Genomic DNA, 26,098 nt, shown 5'->3' with positions numbered 1-26,098 from the left:
ATGATATTCAAATTAGTTTTATGCTTACCCAGGTTTTTGAAGTTAAGCTCACCAATCATTTTTCAAATCTTGGCCTATATGTTTACTCTCTTTTGATAAGGATAATTGTCTTTAAATTATTGCAGACAATGGTTTTATGTTAGTTTTCAACATAAAACATATTCATATTTTTTTCTACTCATGGTACCAAAGTATAAATAAACAACACATCAGTACAGAAAAATATATAGCTTGTAACTTATCCTTTAAAACCAGAATATCCAAATTCAATACAGATTCTTATTTTTACTTTAAAAAATCAAAGTTACACATTGGGGCTTGAACAACTATGTTTCTTCTTCTTATACAGATGTGACATATGTGATTTCTGATAAATAATATTCTACCAAACATTGTACTAAACCAAAGCAGACAGATGATCAGTAAAGCTGTTTACTATCTCCTACTCATGTTGAGCTAGGCTACTGAAACACCATCTTGATAGGAAAGATTTTGACAGGAAGAAGAAATCACGGAGTCCCTACCTACCCCAACAGAAAAATCTAACAAACTGGTTTATATGGAAAATATTTTCCACAACCATGCATAAACACACTTAACATGCTATAATAACAGAATATCTGTTGGTCTGCTTCCAGCACACAGTATACATTCATTGGTGCTCAATAAGATATAATTGAACACCAATATAGAAAGCATTTTTTTCTTCATAGCATTAACAACTAAAAAGCACATGGCATAGGATACTTTGATCTTTAAGTGGGTAATCATGGAAATTTCAAGATTATATTTACTAGGTTAGCCTGCATATTCATCTATATTTTTTTCAAAAATAATGGTTCAAAAAGACTTCCAGAAACAGTCCTGATACAGTTTCACTGTTTCTGTTGATGCCTACAGCCAAGACAAGCTGTGAACATGGGAGATTCGGAAATCTCAAGGCAGGCAGCTGGCTTGAGGAACACCCTAGATAAGTACTCCCAAATACTCAAAAGCCCCATTGAGGCTGAAGGACCGAAACTCTGACTCATACTAAAAAGAACTGTGAGTGCACAAAGAGATTCATGCAGAGCCTGCCGGGACAAGAAGAGTTGGTGATGGTAGATGTGTTGACATACCAACACATATACTGGGGGAAGGGCCCCGCTAGGTGGAATGCTTGACATGGGCTTGCTTCAGAGGAATCTGACTCAGAGCACCTGAAAGAGGTGTCTAGTTGGGGAGGGGAGGAATACTAGGGTTACTGAGCACTTGGGGAAGAGTACTAAGGTTATAAAATACAGAAAAGTGTTTCAGGAGAGACAGGTCTAGGAGTGTCAGATCATTTTGGTTTTGACCCATCAATACTTAACATGAATGAAGAGTTGCAGAACAGAGTCAGTCTATTTAAGATGTATTCTTCTGTGATAATTAGCTGAGCCTATTGGCCTACTGGGCCAGTGACGTCCAGAATGCTCCCATTCATTGCCTGGAGGCAGGAACTTAGTGCAGCAGATTGTTCTGGGAAGCTGGCATAGAAGATGATTTGCACGGCAAAGTCACCACTAAACCACTGCTTAAGTCCAGTCCCTGGCCTGTTTTTTCCACTTTGTAGTCCAGAAATATTTCTTTAAAAGCCAGAAAAATCTATAAATGCGAGCAGCGTGTTGAATATGTCACCAGCCACTTCATCCTTATGGTGCTGTAATGTTGCTGTGAAAACTGCCATGTTAAATCCAGGAATCCTCTCCAGCAGCTGTTCTATATACTTTCCTACCAAAGAAATATATTCATTAAAAATAGGCATGAAGTTGAGTTTATTTTCTTCTGCATCTGCAAACTCTCAGTAGTACTTGTCCATGAAATTTCTCTAATAACTAGAACTTGTCATCTTTGATAATATCCTCTAAATATCCTATCACAGCATCAAATTCTGCATTAGAGGTTAAGTACAGTGCAAAGCTCTCTTCATCTAAGGAGGCCACTGTTGCTGCCCTACCCACCAGGTGGGCCAGGGGCTGTTGGGCACCCATCCTTCCCTGGCTCAGGCCTGGGCCCAGGCTCTGCTCTGTTCTCCAGAGCCTCAACCTGGCTGGCTGGCCACTGAGGCCACTGTCCACTCACAACCCAGCTAGGTCAGCACCTGCGGGAGAGGCCCAACCTTGGGATCCCCAGCTGCCACCATGCATAGGTTGGCATGCACAGCAGCCACTGCCACTGTGGGTCCAAACATCCCATATTCATACATTTTTAAAGGAATAAAATACCATAAAAAGAGGAATGAAAGGATATATCAGAGGAGAAAAAGAGCTGCTCTCAGATAATTAATTGGAGAATTGCTGATGAATTGTATTTGAATTCAATCTTGCAGGATGAGTAGAAGTAGACACACAGAGATGAGAAGTGTTTGTCACCTTGGGTCTTCTGAGAAGCAGACACCAACATGGGACTATGTGTACTAGACATTTATTAGGGGAGACACTTATGAAGAATAAAGGGTGAAGGTGTAAGAGTAGATAAAGAAAGCCTCAGAACATGATGCATGTCTGTTCTTTTTAAAAGGAGAGAGGGAAGAATTAGATAGGAAGAGCTCTAGGCTGTAGCATTGTTCTCAGAAAGTCTCAGGCAGGATCATGGGGGTTCCATGAATCAAAGTTGCCTATTTGAGACATATTGCACAGGGCAGAAATGGGCTAGCACTCATAATTCTACTATGCTGAGTCACTGGTTAACAGTAGCCCCAGGAAAATGTGGTCTCAGCATTCACAGGACTGGCTGCTGCAGGCTTTCAGTTAACTCTGCTCCCTATAGCAGGTTTTCTTAAAGAGATCTGAAGGGAACATGTCCATGGCTGCCCTATGGAGTAAAGATGATCAGGCATACAGAGAGAAACTGCAAGATGTCCATGACAAATAGCAACCTCAGATTGTGTGGAATATGATGTACAGGAAAGATAGTGGTGGAAGGAAATTACAAAGACAGTCTGAGACCAAAACTTTGAACAGTTTTGACGAATCAAATGGGGAGTTTAGACTGAACAATCTTTCATAATAATGATTCATTACAAGTTTATTTTTTAACAGAAGGGTGGTGCTGTCATATTGTCTAGTTTTTTTTCTGAGATGGAGTCTCGCTCTGTTGCCCAGCCTGGAGTGCAGGTCTCGGGTCACTGCAAGCTCCGCCTCCCGGGTTCACGCTATTCTCCTGCCTCAGCCTCCAGAGTAGCTGGGACTACAGGCGCCCACCACCACACCTGGCTAATTTTGTTTTTTGTATTTTTAGTAGAGACGGGGTTTCACCATGTTAGCCAGGATGGTCTCCATCTGCTGATCTCGGGATCCGCCCGCCTTGGCCTCCCAAAGTGCTGGGATTACAGGCGTGAGCTATCACTCCCGGTCTAGTAGATGAATATTGAAGAAATTTAAAACATTGATTTTAGGTAAGAGGGATGCTGCAGTTCTAGGTTTATATTTAGAGCTCAGGGCCTAGAGAGGAAATTTAAATTACCCATTACAAAGTGAGAGTTAAAGTTGTGAAACTGAAGGGCATTGCTTAGAGTGAACTCAGAGAGGAGAACATGACCAAGAAAATATCCTTGGCAGATATGAGTTTAAAATTGAGCAGTCACATTATGTGTTGAGAATCTTGTTTCCTATCCTACTTTAAAAAGAGTATATTAATTATTTTTAAATGACAAAACATTTTTCCTCTCTAATATATGAGGTTAAATTTTCATTTAGAATTTTTCCTAAAGTGAGACATAAGGAAAATATTTTTGCGTAGTTTAAAATAATTAATGACAATTGTGAAAATACATTTATTTATATTTTATTCTATTTCATTCCTCCTCTTGAACATAAATGAATCCAAATGAACAGGTCATTCAGTGCAACTTTATAACTGAATTGAAAGCATAATGGTGAATATGATACTTTTAATAAAGTAAATCACTATCAATTAATGCCACTCAAGTGCACATCAGGTATATAGTCTATATTTTAAATGTTGAGAAAATAGAAATGACTTACTCTTTGGTGCCGATGTCCCTGAGCACTCACCCATGCCACACACATTCACACACAGCACATGGAGCTTCCCCCACTTCATCTTTGTTCCTTTATGCTTGTTCTTCCTCTTCCTTTTACTTTTCTTCATGCTTCCCTTTGCTCATTTCTCCTATTCTCATCCTGATCTTTCACAGTCTCTGAGTAATTTAGACCCATAGAACTATGATTTTCTTCATCAAGAAAGCCTTAATTGAGACAAATTTTTTGGGAAAAATTCATTCAGTTTAGAAGCGTTATTCTTACCTAATAAATATAATTTTTTTTTTATTTTTGCAAATCTTGGCTGAAATTATAAAACATGGCAGGTAAAGCAAACATCACAAAGACTTGAGACTTACAGTGAGGTCAGTAAGCTTGAGGAAAGCTGATGGCGAGGAGTGATTGGCCAAGCTCCAGATCAAACAGTTGGAGACTAAGGTAAATAATCTTCATCTGGTTTTGGAATGCAGTTTCCACCAGCTGAAAGGAGTATTGAGGCACCATGTGAAGCTGTAGCAGGCTTGTTTGTTGCTATAGGGTTGAGCCACTTAGAAAAATCTATCTTACTTCCTAGAAAATCCAATCTAGCGCCTTCACCTGCAGAGAGGAAGAGTTTGAGGAGTAGCTGAGGAGACTTTCTTGTTTGAAGAACAGGAACATAATGCATAATTCCCTGGTTCACTTGAGACGAGCAGTAAAAACCCATTCAATATGCAGAGACTGTTGGCCACAGCAAGAGAATGTGATTGCATTAATATTGGAACCATTTCTATGCTTTGAGATGATTGCTGAAATTGTTTCAAAAGTCCTTATGCTTAAACCAAAATGCTCTTTTGGCTTTCTCCTCTTAGTTCAGCTCAACTGTACAGTTAAAAATGTCAAACTCCAAGCGTTGGGCATAGAATAAATAGGACATTGTAGATCCAAGAACAGCCTCAGGTTCTTGTTGCCACACATTCATTCAGCTGCCACATATTCCATATTATATGACCTTTCCATTACAGGTGAGTCACAAGTTTACTTCTGAGGGCAGGGCTGAAGGCAATCATATTCCCTAATTTTTCCTACCTTTAGGAATTTCACTATTCTGAATGATAAGAAACTATGTATTTTTCTCCACTTGAGCATTTCTTTTGAAGATCAAGAGCGATAAATCAAGATGACTCAAAATGTATTTTTTTTTGGTATGATTTTCTTTTGCACTTTCTTTTTTTTATTATTATACTTTAAGTTCGAGGGTACATGTGCACAACGTGCAGGTTTGTTACATATGTATACATGTGCCATGCTGGTGTGCTGCACCCATTAACTCATCATTTATAGTAGGTGTATCTCCTAAGGCTATCCCTCCCCCCTCCCCCCACCCCACGACAGGTCCTGGTGTGTGATGTTCCCCTTCATGTGTCCAAGTGTTCTCATTGTTCAGTTCCCACCTATGAGTGAGAACATGTGGTGTTTGGTTTTTTGTCCTTGTGATAGTTTGCTGAGAATGATGGTTTCCAGCTTCATCCATGTCCCTACAAAGGACATTAACTCATCCTTTTTTATGGTTGCATAATATTCCATGGTATATATGTGCCACATTTTCTTAATCCAATCTATCACTGATGGACATTTGGGTTGGCTCCAAGTCTTTGCTATTGAGAATAGTGCCGCAATGAACATACGTGTGCATGTGTCTTTATAGCAGCATGACTTATAATCCTTTGGGTATATACCCAGTAATGGGATGGCTGGGTCAAATGGTATTTCTAGTTCTAGATCCTTGAGGAGTCACCACACTCTTTTCCACAATGGTTGAACTAGTTTACAGTTCCTTCAACAGTGTAAAAGTGATCCTATTTCTCCACATCCTCTCCAGCACCTGTTGTTTCCTGACTTTTTAATGATTGCCATTCCAACTGGTGTGAGATGGTATCTCATTGTGGTTTTGATTTGCATTTCTCTGATGGCCAGTGATGATGAGCATTTTTTCATGTCTGTTGGCTGCATAAATGTCTTCTTTTGAGAAGTGTCTGTTCATATCCTTCACCCACTTTTTGATGGGGTTGTTTGATTTTTTCTTGTAAATTTGTTTAAGTTCTTTGTAGATTCTGGATATTAGCCCTTTGTCAGATGGGTAGATTGTAAAATTTTTCTCCCATTCTGTAGGTTGCCTGTTCACTCCGATGTTAGTCTCTTTTGCTTTGCAGAAGTTCTTTAGTTTAATTAGATCCCATTTGTCAATTTTGGCTTTTGTTGCCATTGCTTTTGGTGTTTTTGTCATGAAGTTCTTGCTCATGCCTAGGGCCTGAATGGTACTGCCTAGGTTTTCTTCTGGGGTTTTTATTGTTTTAGGTCTAACGTGTAAGTCTTTAATCCATCTTGAATTAATTATTGTGTAAGTTGTAAGGAAGGGATCCAGTTTCAGCTTTCTACATATGGCTAGCCAGTTTTCCCAGCACCATTTATTAAATAGGGAATCCTTTCCCCATTTCTTGTTTTTGTCAGGTTTGTCAAAGATCAGATGGTTGTAGATGTGTGGTATTATTTCCAAGGACTCTATTCTGTTCCATTGGTCTATCTCTCTGTTTTGGTACCAGTACCAAGCTGTTTTGGTTACTGTAGCCTTGTAGTATAGTGTGAAGTCAGGTAGTGTGATGCCTCCAGCTTTGTTCTTTTGGCTTAGGATTGTCTTGGCAATGCGGGCTCTTTTTTGGTTCCATATGAACTTTAAAGTAGTTTTTTCCAATTCTGTGAAGAAAGTCATTGGTAGCTTGATGGGGATGGCATTGAATCTATAAATTACCTTGGGCAGTATGGCCATTTTCACGATACTGATTCTTCCTATCCATGAGCATGGAATGTTCTTCCATTTGTTTGTGTCCTCCTTTATTTCATTGAGCAGTGGTTTGTAGTTCTCCTTGAAAAGGTCCTTCATGTCCCTTGTAAGTTGGATTCCTAGGTATTTTATTCTCTTTGTAGCAAGTGTGAATGGGAGTTCACTCATGATTTGGCTCTCTGTTCGTCTGTTATTGGTGTATAGGAATGCTTGTGATTTTTGCATATCGATTTTCTCTCCTGAGGCTTTGCTGAAGTTGCTTATCAGCTTAAGGAGATTTTGGGCTGAGATGATGGGGTTTTCTAAGTATACAATCATGTCATCTGCAAACAGGGATATTCCTGTTTTCTTAATTGAATACCATTTATTTCTTTCTCCTGCCTGATTGCCCTGGCCAGAACTTCCAACACTATGTTGAATAGGAGTGGTGAGAGAGGGCATCCCTGTCTTGTGCCAGTTTTCAAAGGGAATGCTTCCAGTTTTTGCCTATTCAGTATGATATTGGCTGTGGGTTTGTCATAAATAGCTCTTATTATTCTGAGATACGTCCCATCAATACCTAATTTATTGAGAGTTTTTAGCATGAAGGGCTGTTGAATTTTGTCAAAGGCCTTTTCTGCATCTATTGAGATAATCATGTGGTTTTTGTCTTTGGTTCTGCTTATGTGATGGATTACGTTTATTTATTTGTATATGTTGAACCAGCCTTGCATCCCAGGGATGAAACCTACTTGATCATGGTGGATAAGCTTTCTGATGTGCTGCTGGATTTGGTTTGCCAGCATTTTATTGAGGATTTTTGCATCGATGTTCATCAGGGATATTGGTCTAAAATTCTCTTTTTTTGTTGTGTCTCTGCCAGGCTTTGGTATCAGGATGATGCTGGCCTCATAAAATGAGTTAGGGAGGCTTCCCTCTTTTTCTATAGATTGGAATAGTTTCAGAAGAAATGGTACCAGCTCCTCCTTGTACCTCTGGTAGAATTCGGCTGTGAATCCATCTGGTCCTGGACTTTTTTTGGTTGATAGGCTATTATTGCCCTCAATTTCAGAGCCTGTTGTTGGTCTATTCAGGGATTCGACTTCTTCCTGGTTTAGTCTTGGGAGGGTGTATGTGTCCAGGAATTTATCCATTTCTTCTAGATTTTCTAGTTTATTTGCGTAGTGGTGTTTATAGTATTTTCTGATGGTAGTTTGTGTTTCTGTGGGATGGGTGGTGATATTCTCTTTGTCATTTTTTATTGCGTCTATTTGATTCTTCTCTTTTCTTCTTTATTAGTCTTGCTAGCGGTCTGTCAATTTTGTTTATCTTTTCAAAAACCAGCTACTGGATTCATTGATTTTTTGAAGGATTTAATTGCCTAGAGGTTCCTTCTTATGCAAGGAGAATAAATTGGAATTTTTTGTATCTCTATCTCCTTCAGTTCTTCTCTGATCTTAGTTATTTCTTGCCTTCTGCTAGCTTTTGAATGTGTTTGCTCTTGCTTCTCTAGTTCTTTTAATTGTGATGTTAGGGTATCAATTTTAGATCTTTCCTGCTTTCTCTTGTGGGCATGTAGTGCTATAAATTTCCCTCTACACACTGCTTTAAATATGTCCCATAGATTCTGGTATGTTGTGTTTTTGTTCTCATTGGTTTCAAGGAACATCTTTATTTCTGCCTTCATTTTGTTATGTACCTAGTAGTCATTCAGGAGCAGGTTGTTCAGTTTCCCACAGAATAATAATGGGAGAATTTGATACGCCACTGTCAACATTAGACAGATCAACGAGACAGAAAGTTAACAAGGATATCCAGGAATTGAACTCAGCACTGCACCAAGCAGACCTAATAGACATCTACAGAACTCTCCACACCAAATCAACAGACTACACATTCTTCTCAGCACCACATCTCACTTATTCCAAAATTGACCACATAGTTGGAAGTAAAGCACTCCTCAGCAAATGTAAAATAACAGAAATTGTAACAAACTGTCTCTCAGACCACAGTGCAATCAAACTAGAACTCAGGATTAAGAATCTCACTCAAAACCGCTCAAAATGTTGTGAGTATTAACAAGCCAAACACAATAGCCTTTCGAAAATTTGATTATGCAAGGCACCTTGCTAAAGAAAAACTAGAAGTAAAATGCATTAAAGATTACTGAGATTGTTCAGTTTGCAAATGTTTTAAAAATTACTTTAGCCAGAAAAATAACCACATAGGCTAGTGAAAAATTAATATTAGTGGGTTTCATTGCCCAGAGGTTCCTTCTTATGCAAGGAGAATAAATTGAAATAATTGAATGGTAAAGAAGGAAATCAATAGAAATCTTTTTGAAAACCCATTTGGAAATAAAAACTTCATGGGAAATGAAAACAGTATGATGCTCCAAATTTACTTAATTTTAAAATTCTGTAATAATTGTAATCTGAATTCAGGCTGTTTTGCTATTCATTCAAGTTGTTCTTTTTTCTTCCACACAGATGGGAGAAAGCAGTTGGATCATCCTTGATCTTTTGTTTTCCTTCCCACTCCACCTTTAATCCCTCAGCAAGTCCTGTTTTCTCTACCCTAATATAGATTGTGAATCTCCACTTCTCCCCACCTCCATTACTAGCGTTCTTGTGCAAACAACATCATCTCTAGCCTGGATGTCTGCAGTGGCCTGCTGATTGTTCTGCCCTCTCCCACTGCCTGCTATAGTTTTGTCTTTACACAGTAGCCATATTCAAAACAAATCAAATCATGGTCCTGATTGCAACTCTTCCGTGATACACATAGGATGAAACTCATATCTATATCATATCTCACAAGTTGCCACCCATCTGGTCCCTGCCTATCTCTCTGACCTCGACATCTACCACTACTCCCCTCCCTCATTTTTCTGCCATTGCACTGCTCTCCGAACTGCTCTGGACATGTTAGATTAGTCCCCACCTCAGAGCATTTATTTACGCTTGCTCTTCTGCTCAGACTATATGTGTTACTACTCATAATTTGAGTTTTTACTTCAGTGTCATTTGCCCAGAGTCCTCCCTCCTGGATTCACTATCCCTTTGTCCTGCTTTCTTTCCTTTCTAGTGCTTATCACTATCTTACACTATATTGCCTAACTACTTCTTTTCTATCTCCCTCTCCCACTAGAATGCAAACTCCATTATAACAGGGACCTTTTTCTTAGCTATAAAGACAACACCTACAGTGTAAGACAAGAAGAAGAGTGTGTATTCAATACATACTAATTCAATGAGAATCAGTAAAGGAGAGAAAGTAGCTTTCCTCTGTCATTTCTTTTTAATCAGCAAAATGGCATTTATTCACTGTATGAATTTTAAAAATCATTATTTCAAAATCATCATCAGAAAAAATGGTAATGTATCAAGTGGTATAATTTATGATGCAAAGCACAGAAATATTAATCTTCCTGCTTGCTGTGGCCTAAAAAAAGATATTAAAATACACAATCTAGGCATGCATATTTTTTTCTTTTCTCCTTTTCTTATGAAGTCACCAGCTATTTCTGATGTGGGGTTTGGTTGTTGCTGCTGTCGTTATTATTGTTCTTATTAGAAACTTTGATTTGATTGCACACATTAAAAGTTAATGCAAAGGAAGTATTTAGAAAAACTTAAACGTCAATAAGTCTTTTAGTTCTTATTGTCTTTATAAGTGGTATAAGATAGTGATGAAACACAAACACTCAAGACAGACTGCCTAGTTTTGACCCCTCATTCAAATTACTTGCTAGATGATTATTTTATAAATCCTTTATTTATAAAGTGTGACTAGTGATGATAATAATCATATATTCAGATACAGATGCCTCATAGGTTTCCTGTGAATGCTAAATGAGTTAATAAATATAAAGTGTTTAGAGCAATTCTTGAACACAATAGAAACATTTAGAAATGTTGATTTTGAGTTTCTTATATAAACTTCTTTAGATAGAAAATATTACCATGTTCCATGAGGAAAAAAAAAAAAACCTCGATATTAATGGCTACATCACAGGGTTTAGGTTTGGAAAACTTGTCTTCTGCTGCCTATGAAGGATTGTGTACCCATCATTTCAATTTCCACAGATCTCATTAAGGCTGCAGAGGTGGCATGCCTTCAAGATGAAGTCATACTTTCTAGGGAGTATATAGCTCTGGGGTGAAAAGTAACAATGCTTTTGTTTTCTGGTAGATAAGTTGATGCTTTGTAAAAGCAACACTGTGACTGAATAATCAGTTTCACCCAAATTGATTTGCTGTTTTGGTCAAACAATGTGTCAATTGGAAAAAATTGCAGCAAATTTATGTTTAAAAACAAGACCACTTTCACCCAATTCTTTGATTACTTTGTCCTACACATACAGTCTTATGATAATCAATGCAAACAGGCAGGGAGTATCTGAGAAAATAAGTGAGATTGGCATGAGAATGAAGAAGTGAAAACAAAAGAGAACAAGAAGATAAAGGTTATATATTATTCTTATTTTTAAGTTTCAAAATAATTATCAAATGTAACACTGGCTATTATTTTAGGGATTATAAGATATTAGTTTTCTTATTTGGAAATCTTTAGGGTCTGATAATATAAATTTTATTCCAAAATAATGTGATATTAGTGACAAAGTAAGTGTATATGCCTGCATGCCTGCATTTTTGTGTGGTGAGGATATTTTATGAACAATGGCAACAATCCGTTGTTCATAAAGGAACAATGACAGAAAGGTTAGGGGCTCTATGAGTTGGTTGAGTTGTCTAACTTAGGTAATATTAATAATGAATGCAAGACCTTATATCCAAATGAGCACGCTGGACCTCAGCAATGGTTCTTAAGCATATTGAAATAACTGAAATGTCAGGTATAGAGTTCAGAGTCTAGATGGCAAGAATGCTTATTAAGATCCAGGAGAAAGTTGAAACCCAATGCAAAGAATCCAAGGAATCCAGTAAAATAATCCAAGAGCTGAAAGACAAAATAGCCATTTTAAGAAAGAACCAACCCGAACTTCTAGAAGTACAAAATTCACTGCAGGAATTTCATAATGCAGTCAGAAGCATTAACAGCAGGATAAACAAGCCAAGGAAAAACTCTCAGAGCTCAAAGACAGGTTCTTCAAATCAACTCAGCCAGACAAAGGTAAAGAGAATTTTTAAAAAATGAACCAAACCTCTGAGAAATATGGCATTATGTAAGGAGACCAAATCTACAACTTATCTGTAGTCCAGAGAGACAGCCAACAAGTTGGAAAACACTTTTGAGGATATAGTCCATGAAAATTTCCCTAGTCTTGCTAGAGGTCAATATGCAAATTCAAGAAATATGTAGAACACCCATGAGATACTATACAAGGTGACCATTCCCAAGGTACATAGTCATACCGAGGTCAATGCAATAGAAAAAATCTTAAAGGCAGCTAGAGAGAAAGGTTAGGTCAATTATAAATGGAACTCCATTAGGCTAGCGGTGGACTAGTCAGCAGAAACCTTTAGAGCCAGAAGAGATTGGGGACCTGCTTTCAGCATCCTCAAAGAAAAGAAATTTCTACCAAGAATTTTATATCCTGCCAAACTAAACTTCATGAGAAAAGGAGAAACAAAATCCTTCTTCAATAAGCAAACACTAAGGTAATTTGTTACCACCAGGCCAGCCTTATAAGAGGTTTTTAAGGGTGTGTTAAACATGGAAACAAAAGATCAATACCTGCTACCACAAGACACACTTAAGCACATAGCCCACAGATAATATAAAGCAATTACACAATCAACTCTATAAAAAAACCAGCTAACAATATGATAACAGGATCGAAATCTCACATATCAATACTAATCCTAAATGAAAGCAATATAAATGCTCCATTAAAAGGCATAGAGTGGGCTGGGCGCAGTGGCTCACACCTGTAATCCCAGCACTTTGGGAGGCCGAGGCGGGCGGATCACCTGAGGTCAGGAGATCGAGACCATCCTGGCTAACATGGTGAAACCCTGTGGCTACTAAAAATACAAAAAATTAGCCAGGCGTGGTGGTGGGCACCTGTAGTCTCAGCTACACAGGAGGCTGAGGAAGGAGAATGGCATGAGCCTGGGAGGCAGAGCTTGCAGTGAGCCAAGATTGTGCCACTGCACTCCAGCCTGGGCAACAGAGCCAGACTCTGTCTCAAAAAAAAAAAAAAAAAAAAGGCATAGAGTGGGCAACGTGGCAAGTTGGAGAAATAGACAAAATTCGATCATCTGTTGTCTTCAAGAGATCCATCTCACATGTAATAACACTAGTAGGCTCAAAGTAAAGGGATGGAGAAAGAACTACCATACAAATGGAAAACCAAGAGCAGGAGCTGTTATTCTTATATCAGATAAAGCAGACTTTAGACCAACAACAATCAGGAAGGATAGAAAAAGGCACTGTATAATGATAAATAGTTCAATTTGACAAGACTTAACTATCCTAAATATATATGCACCCAACAGTGGAGCATCAGATTCATAAAACAAGTTCTTCTAGACTTAAGAAAAGATTTAGACAGCCATATAAATGTAGTGGGGAACATCAACATCCCACTGACAGCATTAGTCGCCTAATTGAGGCAGAAAACAAAGAAATTATCGCCTTACATTTGATATTTGACAAACTGGACCCAAAAGACATCTACAGAATAGTACCAATAACCACAGAATATACATTCTTCTCATCAGCACATGGAATATATTTGAAGATTGGCCACATACTCAATCATAAAGCAAGTCTCAATAAATTTAAAAAAATTGAAATTGTACAAGCACACTCTTGGACATAGCACAATAAAAATAGAAATTAATGCTAAGATGATGTATCAAAACTACACAAAATATGGAAATTAAACAACTTGCTCTGAAATAACTCGAGTAAAAAATAAAATTAAGGCAGAAATAAAAAATTTCTTTGAAATTAATAAAAATAGAGACAACTTAGTGAAGTCTTTGGAATGCAGCTAAGGCAGAGCTAAGAGGAAAGTTTGTAGTGCCAAATACCTCCATTAAGAAATTAGAAAGATCTCAAATTAACAATCTAACATCACACCTAGAGGAATTAGAATAAAAGAACAATTCAGAGAAGAAATAAATTGGAGAAGAGCTGAATGAAATTGAGATGCAAAAATCACTAAAATGATCAAAGAAACCAAGAGTTTGTTATTTGAAAGGGTAAACAAGATTGATAGATCACTAGCTAGATTAGCAAAGAAAAAAGAGAGAAGATCCAAATAAACACAATCAGAAATGACAAATATGACATTACAATGGACCCCACAGAAATACAAAAGAAACTCAGAGACGATTATGAATACCTCTATGAACAGAAATTAGAAAATCTAGAGAAAACTGATAATTTCCGGGACACACAACCTACCAAGACTGTACCAGGAAGAAAGTGAAAACCCAAACAGATAAATAACATGTTCCTAAATTGAGTAAGGAATTAAAAAACTTTCCAACCAAAAAAGTCTTGGATCATATATATTCATAGTCAAATTCTACCAGATGCACAAAGAACTGGTGCAAATCTTACTGAAACTCTTCCAAAAAATCAAGGAGGGAGGGGTTCCTTCCTAACTAATTTTATGAAGCCAGCATCACCCAGATACCAAAGTATGGCAGAGATGCAATGAAAAAGGGAAACTACAGGCCAGTGTCCCTGATGAACATAGACACGAAAATCCTCAACATGATACTAGAAAACCAAATTCAGAAGCACATCAAAAAGATAATTCACCATGATTAAGTAGGCTTTATGCCTGGAATGCAAGGTTGGTTCAACATATGCAAATCAATAAATATGATTCATTACATAAACAGAATCAATAACAAAAACTATATGATTATTTCGATAGGTACAGAAAAAGCCTTTGATAAAATCCAACATCCCTTCATGATAAAAACTCTCAACAGACTAGGCATTGAAGGCAGAAATCTCAAAATAATAAGAGGTGTCTGTGACAAATCCACAGCCAACATGATAGTGAATGGACAAAAGCTGGAAGCATTCCCCTTGAGAACTGGAACAAGACAAGTATGCCCACACTCATTGCTAGTACTGGAAGTCCTAGCCAGAGCACTCAGGCAAGAGAAAGAAATAAAAGGTGCCCAAATAGGAAAAGAAGAAGTCAAACTATCTTTATTCACTGGTGATATGATTTTATATCTAGAAAACCCTAAAGACTCCACCAAAATTCTCTTAGACCTGATAGATGACATCAGTAAAGTTTCAGTATACAATGTCAATGTACAAAAATCAGTAGCTTGTCTATACATAAATATCATTACAGTTGATAGCCAAATCAAGAGCACAACCACATTTATAATAGCCACAAAAAAATGAAGTACCTAGGAATACGTCTAACCAAGGAGGTGAACAATCTCTACAATGAGAGTTACAAAATACTGCTGAAAGAAATAACAGATAATGCAAATAAATGGGAAAGTAATCCATGCTCATGGATTGGAAGAATCAATATCTTTAAAATAGCCATACTGCCCAAAGCAATTTACAGATTCATTGCCATTTCTATTAAAATGCCAAGGTCACTTTTTTCACAGAATTTGAAAAAATGATTCTAAAATTAACATGGAACCAGAAAAGAACCTGAATAGCCAAAGCAATCCTAAGCAAAAAGAACAACACCAGAGACATCATATTACCCAACTTTAAACTATGCCATAAGGCTACAGTAACCAATACAGGATGGTACTGGTATAAAAACAGACCATAGTCCAATGGAACGAAATAGAGAACCCAGAAATAAAGCCACACACCGACAGCCATTTGATCTTTGACAATGTTGACAAAATAAACCATGGGAAGAGACTCCTTATTCTGTAAATGGTGCTGAGATAGCTGGCTAGCCATATGTAGAATAATACAACTGGACTCTTATACAATAATTAAGATGTACTAATACTTTAAATTTATAATCTCAGATTATACAAACCTTAGAAGAAAACCTAGGAAATAACCTTCTTGACATCGGCTTTGGTAAAGCATTTATGGCTTAGTCTCTAAAAACAATTGCAATGATAACAAAAATTGACAAGCGTGACCTAATTAAATTAAAGAGCTTCTGCATAGTAAAACAAATTATCAACAGAGTAAACAGAAAACCCACAGAATGGGAGAAAATATTTGCAAACTATGCATCTGACAAAGATCTATTTCCCAGGATCTATAATACAAGGGTTTTTTAATAATCAACAATCAAAAAATGAATAATCCAATTAAAAATGAGCAAAGGCCATGAACAGATATGTCTCCAAAGAAGACATATAAGTGGACAAGAAACATGTGGAAAAATGCTCCTTATTACTAATCCTTAGAGGAATGCAAATCAAAACCACAATGAGATACCATCTCATATCAGTCATAATGGTGACTATTCAAGAGTCAATAAAAGAAAAAAAAACAGATATTGGCAAAGTTACAGAGAAAAGGGAACACTTATACACTGCTGGTGGGAATTTAAATTAGTTTTAACCAAGATTGTGAATTGCAAAGCCATAACAAAAATTAAGAGAAATATATGACTATTTAAAAATTTTTGTTGCAAAAATTCCACAAAAGAAAGCAATAGACAAATCATAGATTTGTGTGTATGTATACATACATATTGCATATATGAGTGTGTGAAATGAGAAACGCTTAATGTCTATTATCACCAAAGGGTTCTTAAAATGATGCAAAACTAGACAATCAATCTAATAGAACAATTAACAAAGATAAGATATCCAAGAAGAGAACTTTCAAATATCCATTAAAAATATAAGAGGATCACATTGACTAGTAGTTAAAAGGAAATGGCAAAAACTATACAGAAAGATTTCAACTATTCCTGACAGGAGTGGGAAGAAAACAGTACATTCATACTTGGTGGTGGAAAGTGGAAACGAGATTGTTACATGCATTTTTGTAACCAACTGGCTAATATTTATTAAAATAAAAATATATTCATGCAATGATAAGTGATAATTCAGTTTTTAAAGTTGTAATATTTATACTTAATTTTATGTCTTTATAAAATACAAAAACCCTCAAAACAAGTGCATACCATAATGCTTGTATTGTTTGTAAGTACATGGAGAATATATTCTAAGCTACTAACTTTATATATAGAAGGAGAAAAATGAGTGTTCAGATGATTAGGGTTTTATTTGTATGTAACTCTATTTCATTTATTGTAACAAGAATATATTATTTTATAATAAAATATGATATAGGTTATTACTTTTTCAGAGATAAATAGGTTTATTGTAGGAAAAATGGTGTTAATCTGCAACTCTACAAGCAATTATTAATATGATTAATTGTATAATTTACTCTCTACATATTAATCTGCATTTTCACTTAACTTATATAAAAATTGTGTCACTCTTTGCCTTTGTAGCAGGTTGGCGATTCTAAGTAGAAGTATACCAAAAATATGTGATGAAATTATAAAACAGGATTCAGAAATACAATTTTTCTGTTTGGTTCTTTCATATTTTTTCTTTTTTAAAAAAGAGCTTCAACTTGTATTTTAGATACAGGAGATGCATTTACAGGTTTGTTACATGGGTATATTGTGCAGTGCTGAGGTTTGGGATGCAGTTCCCATCACCCAAGTAGTGAGCATAGTGCCCAATAAGTAGTTCTTCAACCCCCACCTCTCCCTCCCCTCTCTAGTAGTCTGCGGTGTCTATTGTTCTCATGTTTATGGCCATGTGTGCTCAATTTTTAGTTCCAACTTATAAGTGAAAAGTTTCTTTTATTTTGAACGCACAGGTGAAAATGGGAACTATTTCCCAGTTGAAGACTTAATTCCTGTATTTTACTCTTTTTCCCTTTTCTGACTCCAGCTGTTCTTGTACTTTTCAGTTGCCATCCAATATAAGCAGTTTAAGTGCTAAGTAAATCATTATTGGTATCAGGTCACACATTAACATTTGATGTGTTCAATATCAGTGTTAAAGTATGGGATATAAGCAATAAAAACTATCATTTTACATAAGTAGGCCATGTTGCTGTCTGGGAGAGGATCACAGTTTGGCCTTAAAAACTTTTTTTTGTTTGTTTTTTGAGATTTTTTATATATATTTTTTAAGTTCTGGAATACATGTGCAGAACGTGCAGGTTTGTTACATAGGTATACGTGTGCCATGGTGGTTTGCTACACCCATCAACCCGTCATCTACATTAGTTATTTCTCTTGATGCCATCCCTCCCCTTGCCCCCCACCTCCTGACAGGCCCTGGTGTGTGGTGTTCCCTTCCCTGTGCCCATATGTTCTCATTGTTCAACTCCCACTTATGAGTGAGAACATGCAGTGTTTGGTTTTCTGTTCCTGTGTTAGTTTGCTGAGAATGATGGTTTCTAGCTTCATCGATGTCTCTGCAAAGGACATACACTAATTCTTTTTTATGGCTGCATAGTATTACATGGTATATATGTGCCACATTTTCTTTATCCAGCCTATCATTGATAGGCATTTGGGTTGATTCCAAGTCTTTGCTATTGTGAATAGTGCTGCAATAAACACACATGTGCATGTGTCTTTATAGTAGCATGATTTATAATCTTTTGGGTATATATCCAGTAATGGGATTGCTGGGTCAAATGGTATTTCTAGTTCTAGATCCTCGAGGAATTGCCACACTGTCTTCCACAATGGTTGAACTAATTTATACTCCTACCAACAGTGTAAAAGTGTTCCTATTTCTCCACATCCTCTCCAGCATCTGTTGTTTCCTAACTTTTTAATGATTGCCATTCTAACTGGCGTGAGATGGTATCTCATTGTGGTTTTGATTTGCATTTCTCTAATGACCAGTGATGATGAGCTTTTTTTCGTATGTTTTTTGGCCACATAAATGTCTTCTTTTGAAAAGTGTCTGTTCAAAACCCCATTGTCTCAGCCGAAAAACTCCTTAAGCTAATAAGCAACTTTAGCAAAGTCTCGGGATACAAAATCAATGTGCAAAAATCACAAGCATTCCTATACACCAATAATAGAGAGCCAAATCATGAGCAAACTCCCATTCACAATTGTTAAAAACTGTTTTAAAACATTCCTACTCTGTTGAAAAGTATAATTTCAGACATAAATCACATTCCTATGTTCACCAACACATTAAGAATAAGAAGAACAAATGCAAATTGGAAATGTTTGATTCATGTACATATTGATTTAAGATCAAGTCTTTGAAAACTAAGCAAAATTAAACAGATATTGTATCATCTGAGTATTTGGTATGAGAAATGATTCAGATCCAAAACCAAAATATTTATTTGTTATACAGTTTTGGGGCCACCTCTGCATTGTAAATATAATAGAAAGACCCGAAGTGTTCTATATGACTATCTGCTTTACAGACAAAATCAAAATTACTAATGTTGATACATCTGTAAGCCATAATTTTCTCATCTGTAAATTTTGCATAATAATAAAATGCTTCTGATAGCTGTGGTAATAATGTGTAGTGAATTACTTGGAAATGCAAACTTTGGAGGCAGACTGTGTCAGTTTGGGTTCCTGTTACTTCTCCTATTAACTACAAACCTAAGCAATCTACTTAATCATTCTACACTTCAATATTCTCACCTAAAAGTTGTAGATAATGGTATCTCATAGAGTTAGTGTCCAGATTAAATAAATTGTATCACATAAAGCTCTTTGATGGTGCTTACTAACATGAAATACATTTTAGTTATTATTGCCATTTTGTGACAATTTATGCAGAGCACTACTACAGCAGGTGACACATAGTTGATATTTGATAAATACAGATTCTTCCTTAGATTGGGACAAGTATATAGCAATAGCAATTATCTTTAAGCCATTCGGTCCTTTCTGATATTTTAAACACCTTTTTAGCCGGGTTTTATTCAAAACAAAAAATTTTAGTATCTTCATAACAGTATTTTTTATACTATGCTGCCTGCCTTCCACTGACTGTTCACTCTGAACTATACTTATAGTAACATGTCTTTATATCTCCCTTATTCCATGTATTTGTATATGCTCCCATCCATTTACCTCTTTTCTGATAGGCTAAATAAAGAAGAGATATAGGTGTAGATATATATTTAAATGCCCCTATAGGCTTCAAATTCATCATGTACAAAATGGAAAATTTTCTTCCCTTATGCAATTTTGGTATTTCCACTTAAAAGCAAAAGCCAAAATCACAATCACTTAGCAAATTGCTAATGTTGAAAAAAATCTCCACTAACATTTTTAGTATCTCTGGAATTCAATCCCTTCTTTGTACTTTCACAGCTACTGCCCAGTGCCAGTTCTCATTAGAACTTTTCTGAATTATTTTAACAGCATTTATCAGTGTTACCCAGGCATACAGCTAGTTAACTACTCAATAGTTCTTTCTATGTTTTGTATAATCTGTATAACAGATTCTGTTCCATTTTGGAATATTCAGTACAACCTCAGTTATCATCTGGGGCTGAACTTGAGAATTTTAGCCAAACACTGAAAGGATGACAGAGAAAGATGACAGGTCCTTCATGATGGTGATGGTGAAGCCAAGACATTATCTTGTATCTGCCCACCTTTGCACTTAGCCACTGCTATTTTGTGATTTCTGTTAAGTGCAGCCAAACTTAATCCACTCAATATAGTGTATCTTCAGTCTATTAATAGCTAATATCCATTCTTGGAAGGACTTTCTAAGTGTGCATGTAGCTGTGTTCATCTCATGCTTAAAATACTTCATTGAATGCTTATTATTCAGAGGATAAAATTGAATCTTTAGGTTGCTACTTATTATTCTTCAATATATGACCCTTCCTTAAGTCTTCAGCTTCATCTTGATCCTCTCTCTAACCCTGGATTCCTTTTAAGATATATCAAATGACATGTAGACTCTTAAAAGTCATGTGTGATTTTTCAAGCTTTAGGTTGATGCCTTTTCTTAGCTCCTTTAAGACTTTGTGTATTCCTTTATGAACAGCTTTTACTTCTTTCATTTAGAATTTTATATTTATTATTTGCCTTTATTACAACCAGACCACGAGAGGTTTTCTTGAAGATAGATGTAATGTCTTTCCTTTTGATATCCTCCAAGTCCTTGCAAGTTAATTGAAAAAATGTCAAACATTCAGTAATATATGTTACATCATTGATTAGAATTTACGTTGACCAAATTCTCAAGAAGAAGCTTTATATCTGTAGCCTCCTTTACCCTGTACACCAGTATTTCCTCAGACAAACTCAGAAATCTTCCTCCATATGATAATGTCTAATTCTGTGCACAATGAGATAGATAATCCATTGAGCATTTGGGATGTGCTATATATGGTGCTAGGCAATTTACATGAATTTTCTCATACAACTTTAAAACAACACAAATACATAATTAAATATTATTATCCTCTTCATTTGTATTTAGGGGATTTCTAGAGTTAGAAAATCAAATAAATTACCAAGATTACACAGAAAGCAAGTTGTGTAGCTTGGGTTTGAGAACAGTCAGCGAGAGCCCTGTGTGTTGCACTGCCTTCCTCCCTGGAATAATTCCTAATTGCTAGTCACTGGAACGTCCCGAAATACTGGGTTTGAATCGTGCCTCCACTGCTTGTTACCTCTGTGACTTCAGAGAAGCCACATAAATTCTATACATCAGTTTCCTTATTCGTAAAATGGAAATAATAATTACCTCTCTCAGTGATTTGAGGATTGGAGGATGCTCATATCTCCAACAACTTCACGTTTGTTAATTTAAATGAACTGATGTTTGAATTATTCTAAATACTTTCTTCTTTGAATAGAAGAGTTCCTCTTTGCTTGTTTGTATTTTAAGGTATTCATTTAAGGGAAGTTGACATAAGATGTAATGTATGTTTTCAAGGAAAATATTAGTTTTAATCAATTTTCAACTTTGGATGATTGAAAAATGCCAGGAAGTAAAGTAATACTCTTAACATTCTTCTGTACATCAGTAGCAGGACCCTGGACTCAACCACAGTGAAACATAACATCCACTCCAGCCCTTTTGGGGGAATTAAAAAAATCTTCTAATAACTAAATAGTTAATTCTGCATGTTCAGTGAATTGATGGAAATGCTCATACCTCCAAGGACTCCACTTAAGTTGATTCTGACTGAAACATTTCTTATTTTGTTCATCAGTCCTTATTAACACACATAGATTTATTACTTCATCTGAAATTTTTACTTTTTTATAAACCCTTTGAAAAATATTCAGAACTTTTTTTTGAACAAAATACTTAGAAACTTTCCCTGAGCCAAAATGACTTGCAGTATAAAAATTCTACATTCAAGATTGACCAGGAAAAATGATTCCTAGTAAAAATGCGTATGTTGAAGACTAGTAGCTTTATCCTGTGTGTAAGGGTATGGAGAATACCCAGAATTGAGCTATGCACAGATCTAAAAAAATATATAATGTTACACATTAAAAAACTAGAAAAATAACAGGGTAAGCCCAAAGTTGGTAAAAGGAAGGAAATAATAAATATCAGGGCAGAAAAACAACAGCAAAGATAAACAAAATTAAGAGTTGAGGTTTTGAAAAAATAAAACTGATAAGACTTTAGGTAACTAAAAAAAAAAAAGAGAAGACTCAAATAGATAAACCAGAAATAAAAGAGGGCACATTATAACTAATACCATAGAAATACAAATAAATTATGAGAGACTCATATGAACAATTATATACCACAAATTGAATAACCTATATGAAATTGATAAATTCCTAGACAAATATAACTTATTAAGACTGAATCATGAAGAGACAGAAAATTTTGTCAGACCAATAATAAGAAAATTAAATCAGTAATAAAAGATCTCCCAACAAGGAAAATCCAGGACCTGATGGCTTCATTGCTAAATTCTATCAGACATTTGAAGAAGAACTAAGACTATCGTTCTCTAACTCTTCCAAACAAATGGATAAGAGAAAATACTTTCAAACTCATTTTATGAGGCTAGCATCACCTTGATACCAAAGCCAGACAAACATATTACAAGAAAAGAAAATCATAGGATAATATCTTTGATGAATGTAGATGTAAAACTTCCCAACAAAATACTAGCAAACTGAATTCAACAGCACATTAAAAGGTTTGTTCACCATGATCAAGTGGGATTTATCCCGAGAATGCAAGAATGGTCAAACATACAAAATTAATGTCGTATAACACATTAACTGAATGATGGACAAAAACCATATGATCATCTCAATAGATGCAGAAAAAGCATTGTATAAAATTTAACATCCCTTCATGATAAAAATTCTTAACAAATTAGCTATAGAATGAATGCGTCTCAACATAATAAAGGCCATGTATAACAAACCCATAGCTAATAACATACTCGGTGGTGAAAAATGGAAAGCTTTTCCTCTAAGATCAGGAACAAGATTCCTGCTCTTGCCACTCTATTCAATATAGTACTAGAAATTCTAACCTGATAACTTATTAAAGAGAAAGAAATACAGAAGATTTAAATTGGAAAAGAAGAAGTTAAATTGTTCTCTGCAGATGACATGATCATATTTGTATGTGTGTCTATAGGGTTTTATATATATAATCCTTCAGACACCATCAAAAAATTTTTAGAACTACTACATGAATTCAGTAAAGTCGCAGGATGCAAAACCAGCCAAGAAAAATTAGTAGCATTTCTATGCAGTAATCAAAAAATCCAAAAAAGAAGTCAATTAAAAATCCAATTTATAATATGTACAAAAATAAAATACTTTGGAATAAATTTAACTATGGAAGTGAAATACCTGTGCAATAAAAACTATAAAACATTGATAAAAGAAATTGAAGATGATAAAAATAAGTAAAAGATGTTATGTGTTTATAGATTAGAAGAAATAATACTGTTAAAATATCAATATGACCCAAAGTGATCTATAGATTTGGTGTAATCTCCATCAAAATTACAATGCCATTTTTCACAGAAATAGAAAAAACAATCTTAAAATTTGTGTAGAACCACAAAAGACCCCAAATAGCCAAAGCAATCTTGAGCAAAAAGAACAAACTTGGAGGTATCATGCTAGCTGACTTCAAAATATATTACAGAGCTATAGTAAGCCAAACAGCGTAAAACTGGCATAAAAAATTACAAATAGGCAAATAGAGAGCCCAGAAATAAATCCAGGCATTTATGGCCAATTGATTTTTGACAAAGGTGCCAAGAACACACAATGGGGAAAGGACAGTCTCTTCAATAAATGGTTTGGGAAAACTGGATGTCTAAAGGCAGAAGAATAAAATTAGACTCTTATCTCATGTCATATACAAAAGTCAATTCAAAATAATTTGAAGACTTAGAATTAAGACCTGGATCTGTAAAACTACTTTAAGAGTGTGTAGGAGAAAAGCTCCATGACATTTTGTCTGGGCAATGATTTTTTGGCTATGATCCCCAAAACACAGGAAACAAAATAAAAAATAGACAAATGAGATTGCTTTAAAGTAAAAAGTTTTTGCACAGCAAGGGGAAACCAATTAATAGTGTGAAAAGATAACATACAGAATAAGAGAACATATCTGTAAACCATATACCTGATAAAGGATTAATATCTAAAATGTATAGGAAACTCAAGTTAATAGCAAGGAAAAAAAAAACTACCTGGTTAACAGATGGGCAAAGGACCTGGATGGACGTGTCTCAAAAGAAGACATACAAATGGCCAACAAGTGCTTGAAAAAAATCATCAACCTCACTAATCATCTGGAAAATGCAAATTAAAATCACAATGAGGTACTTACCTCACACTTGTTAGAATGGATACTATAAAAAACACAAAGGACAAATGTTGGTAAGGTTGTGGGGAAAATGTAAATTAGCAAAGTCACTATAGAAAGCAGTATGGAGGTTCCTAAAAAATTAAAAACAGAATTATTATATGATCCAATAAGCCCACTGTTGGTATATTTCTAAAGGAAATTAAATTGGCATATCAAAGAGATATCGGCACATCCACATTCATTGTAGCATTAGAATCAACCTAAGTGTCTGTCAGTGGATAAATGGATGAAATGTGGTATAATATACACAATGGAATACTATTCAGCCTTAAAAACGAATGCTATCCTATTATTTGCAACAAACCTGGAGGACATGTTAGGTGAAATGAGCTAGGCACAGAAAGATCAAGCTAGAACATGATCCTATTTATACATAAAATCTAAAAAAATGAACTCAAAACTAGAAAGTAGAATGGTGTTTTACCAGGGGCTGGGGCTATGGGGGAGTTTTGGAGAGATGTTGGTCACAGTATATAACATTTCGGTTAGACAGGAAGAAAAAGTCCAAGAGATCTATTGTACAACATGATGACTATAATTAATAACAATTTATTTTATTACTGAAAATTGTGAGTAGATTTGAAAGGGTCTTCACCACACAAAATAAGGATGCGACATAATTCACGTGTTAATTAGCTTGCTTGAGCCATTCTACAATGTATACATATATTAAGACATCATGTGCACAATAAATATATGTAATTTTAATTTGTTAATTAAAATAAAATTTCAAAAAGAATTGAGGTATATCCCACTGAGTCTTGACATTAACACAAAGTCTGTTTGGGAAATGATGGAACTTCTGTTTTAGATACCAGTAAGATTAACAGTGCATAATAAGGTTGAAATCCAGCGACTTTCAAGACAGTATTAAAGGGCAACACTTACATTTTCCAAAGGAAAGCTACAAGAATTTTTTTGTTATATTCCTAAAGTGGGGCCATTGTTTAGGAGTATAGCTGGCAATTGCATGTGGTAATTTGTGACAATTACCACTATTTTTCAACTCTAAGAATTCTCAGCTGCAGTCTTTTTTAGTTCTCTGCTAGAAACAGAGTGACTAGGCCTCAAAATCCATAAACACAGATCTGTTTCCATGCAGGCATGTAGTCCCCTCCCTTTATAATTATGGCATCATTCCTTTAATAGAGGAATGAGGAAATTAACAATGATTAGTCTCCAGAAGGAGGAGGATTTGTTAAGATTCAGAAAACCATGTGCTTAATTTTCACCTCAAGAGCCCACAACCTTGACTAGCAGCTTTAGAAAATAACTGCCTTTGTTGCTACAGTTCCAGATAAGGTGCCCAGGGTTCTCACATAGGAGTTGAAGAACTGTTTTATGACTCACATTTGTTTCATCTGGAAATATAGCATCTTTTCGGTTACTTCTTTTTGCCCTCACCCAGTCAGCAATGCCCCCTCCATCCTTAGATTATTGGCTCCTTCTAGCTTTGTAAGAGGAGGGAACTCTCA

At 35.7% G+C, this 26,098-nt stretch overlaps 1 pseudogene, besides 1 other annotated feature; it reads right to left on the bottom strand.

The window, feature by feature from the left end:
- Positions 444 to 1,643: an enhancer, noted in NCBI's record as "CDK7 strongly-dependent group 2 enhancer chr5:129865421-129866620 (GRCh37/hg19 assembly coordinates)". NCBI's record gives its function as "activates an origin of replication core promoter dependent on BRD2, BRD4, P300/CBP, MED14 and CDK7 cofactors, with strong dependence on CDK7, by STARR-seq in HCT116 cells {active_cell/tissue: HCT116}" and the evidence as "EXISTENCE:reporter gene assay evidence [ECO:0000049][PMID:35650434]".
- On the bottom strand, positions 1,277 to 1,963 carry ARL2BPP4 (ARF like GTPase 2 binding protein pseudogene 4; annotated as a pseudogene).

Source organism: Homo sapiens, chromosome 5 (assembly GCF_000001405.40).
Source record: "Homo sapiens chromosome 5, GRCh38.p14 Primary Assembly".
Lineage (NCBI taxonomy): Eukaryota > Metazoa > Chordata > Mammalia > Primates > Hominidae > Homo > Homo sapiens.
The sequence above is the reverse complement of the archived record's forward strand: the minus strand, read 5'-3'. Positions and strand labels throughout refer to the sequence as shown.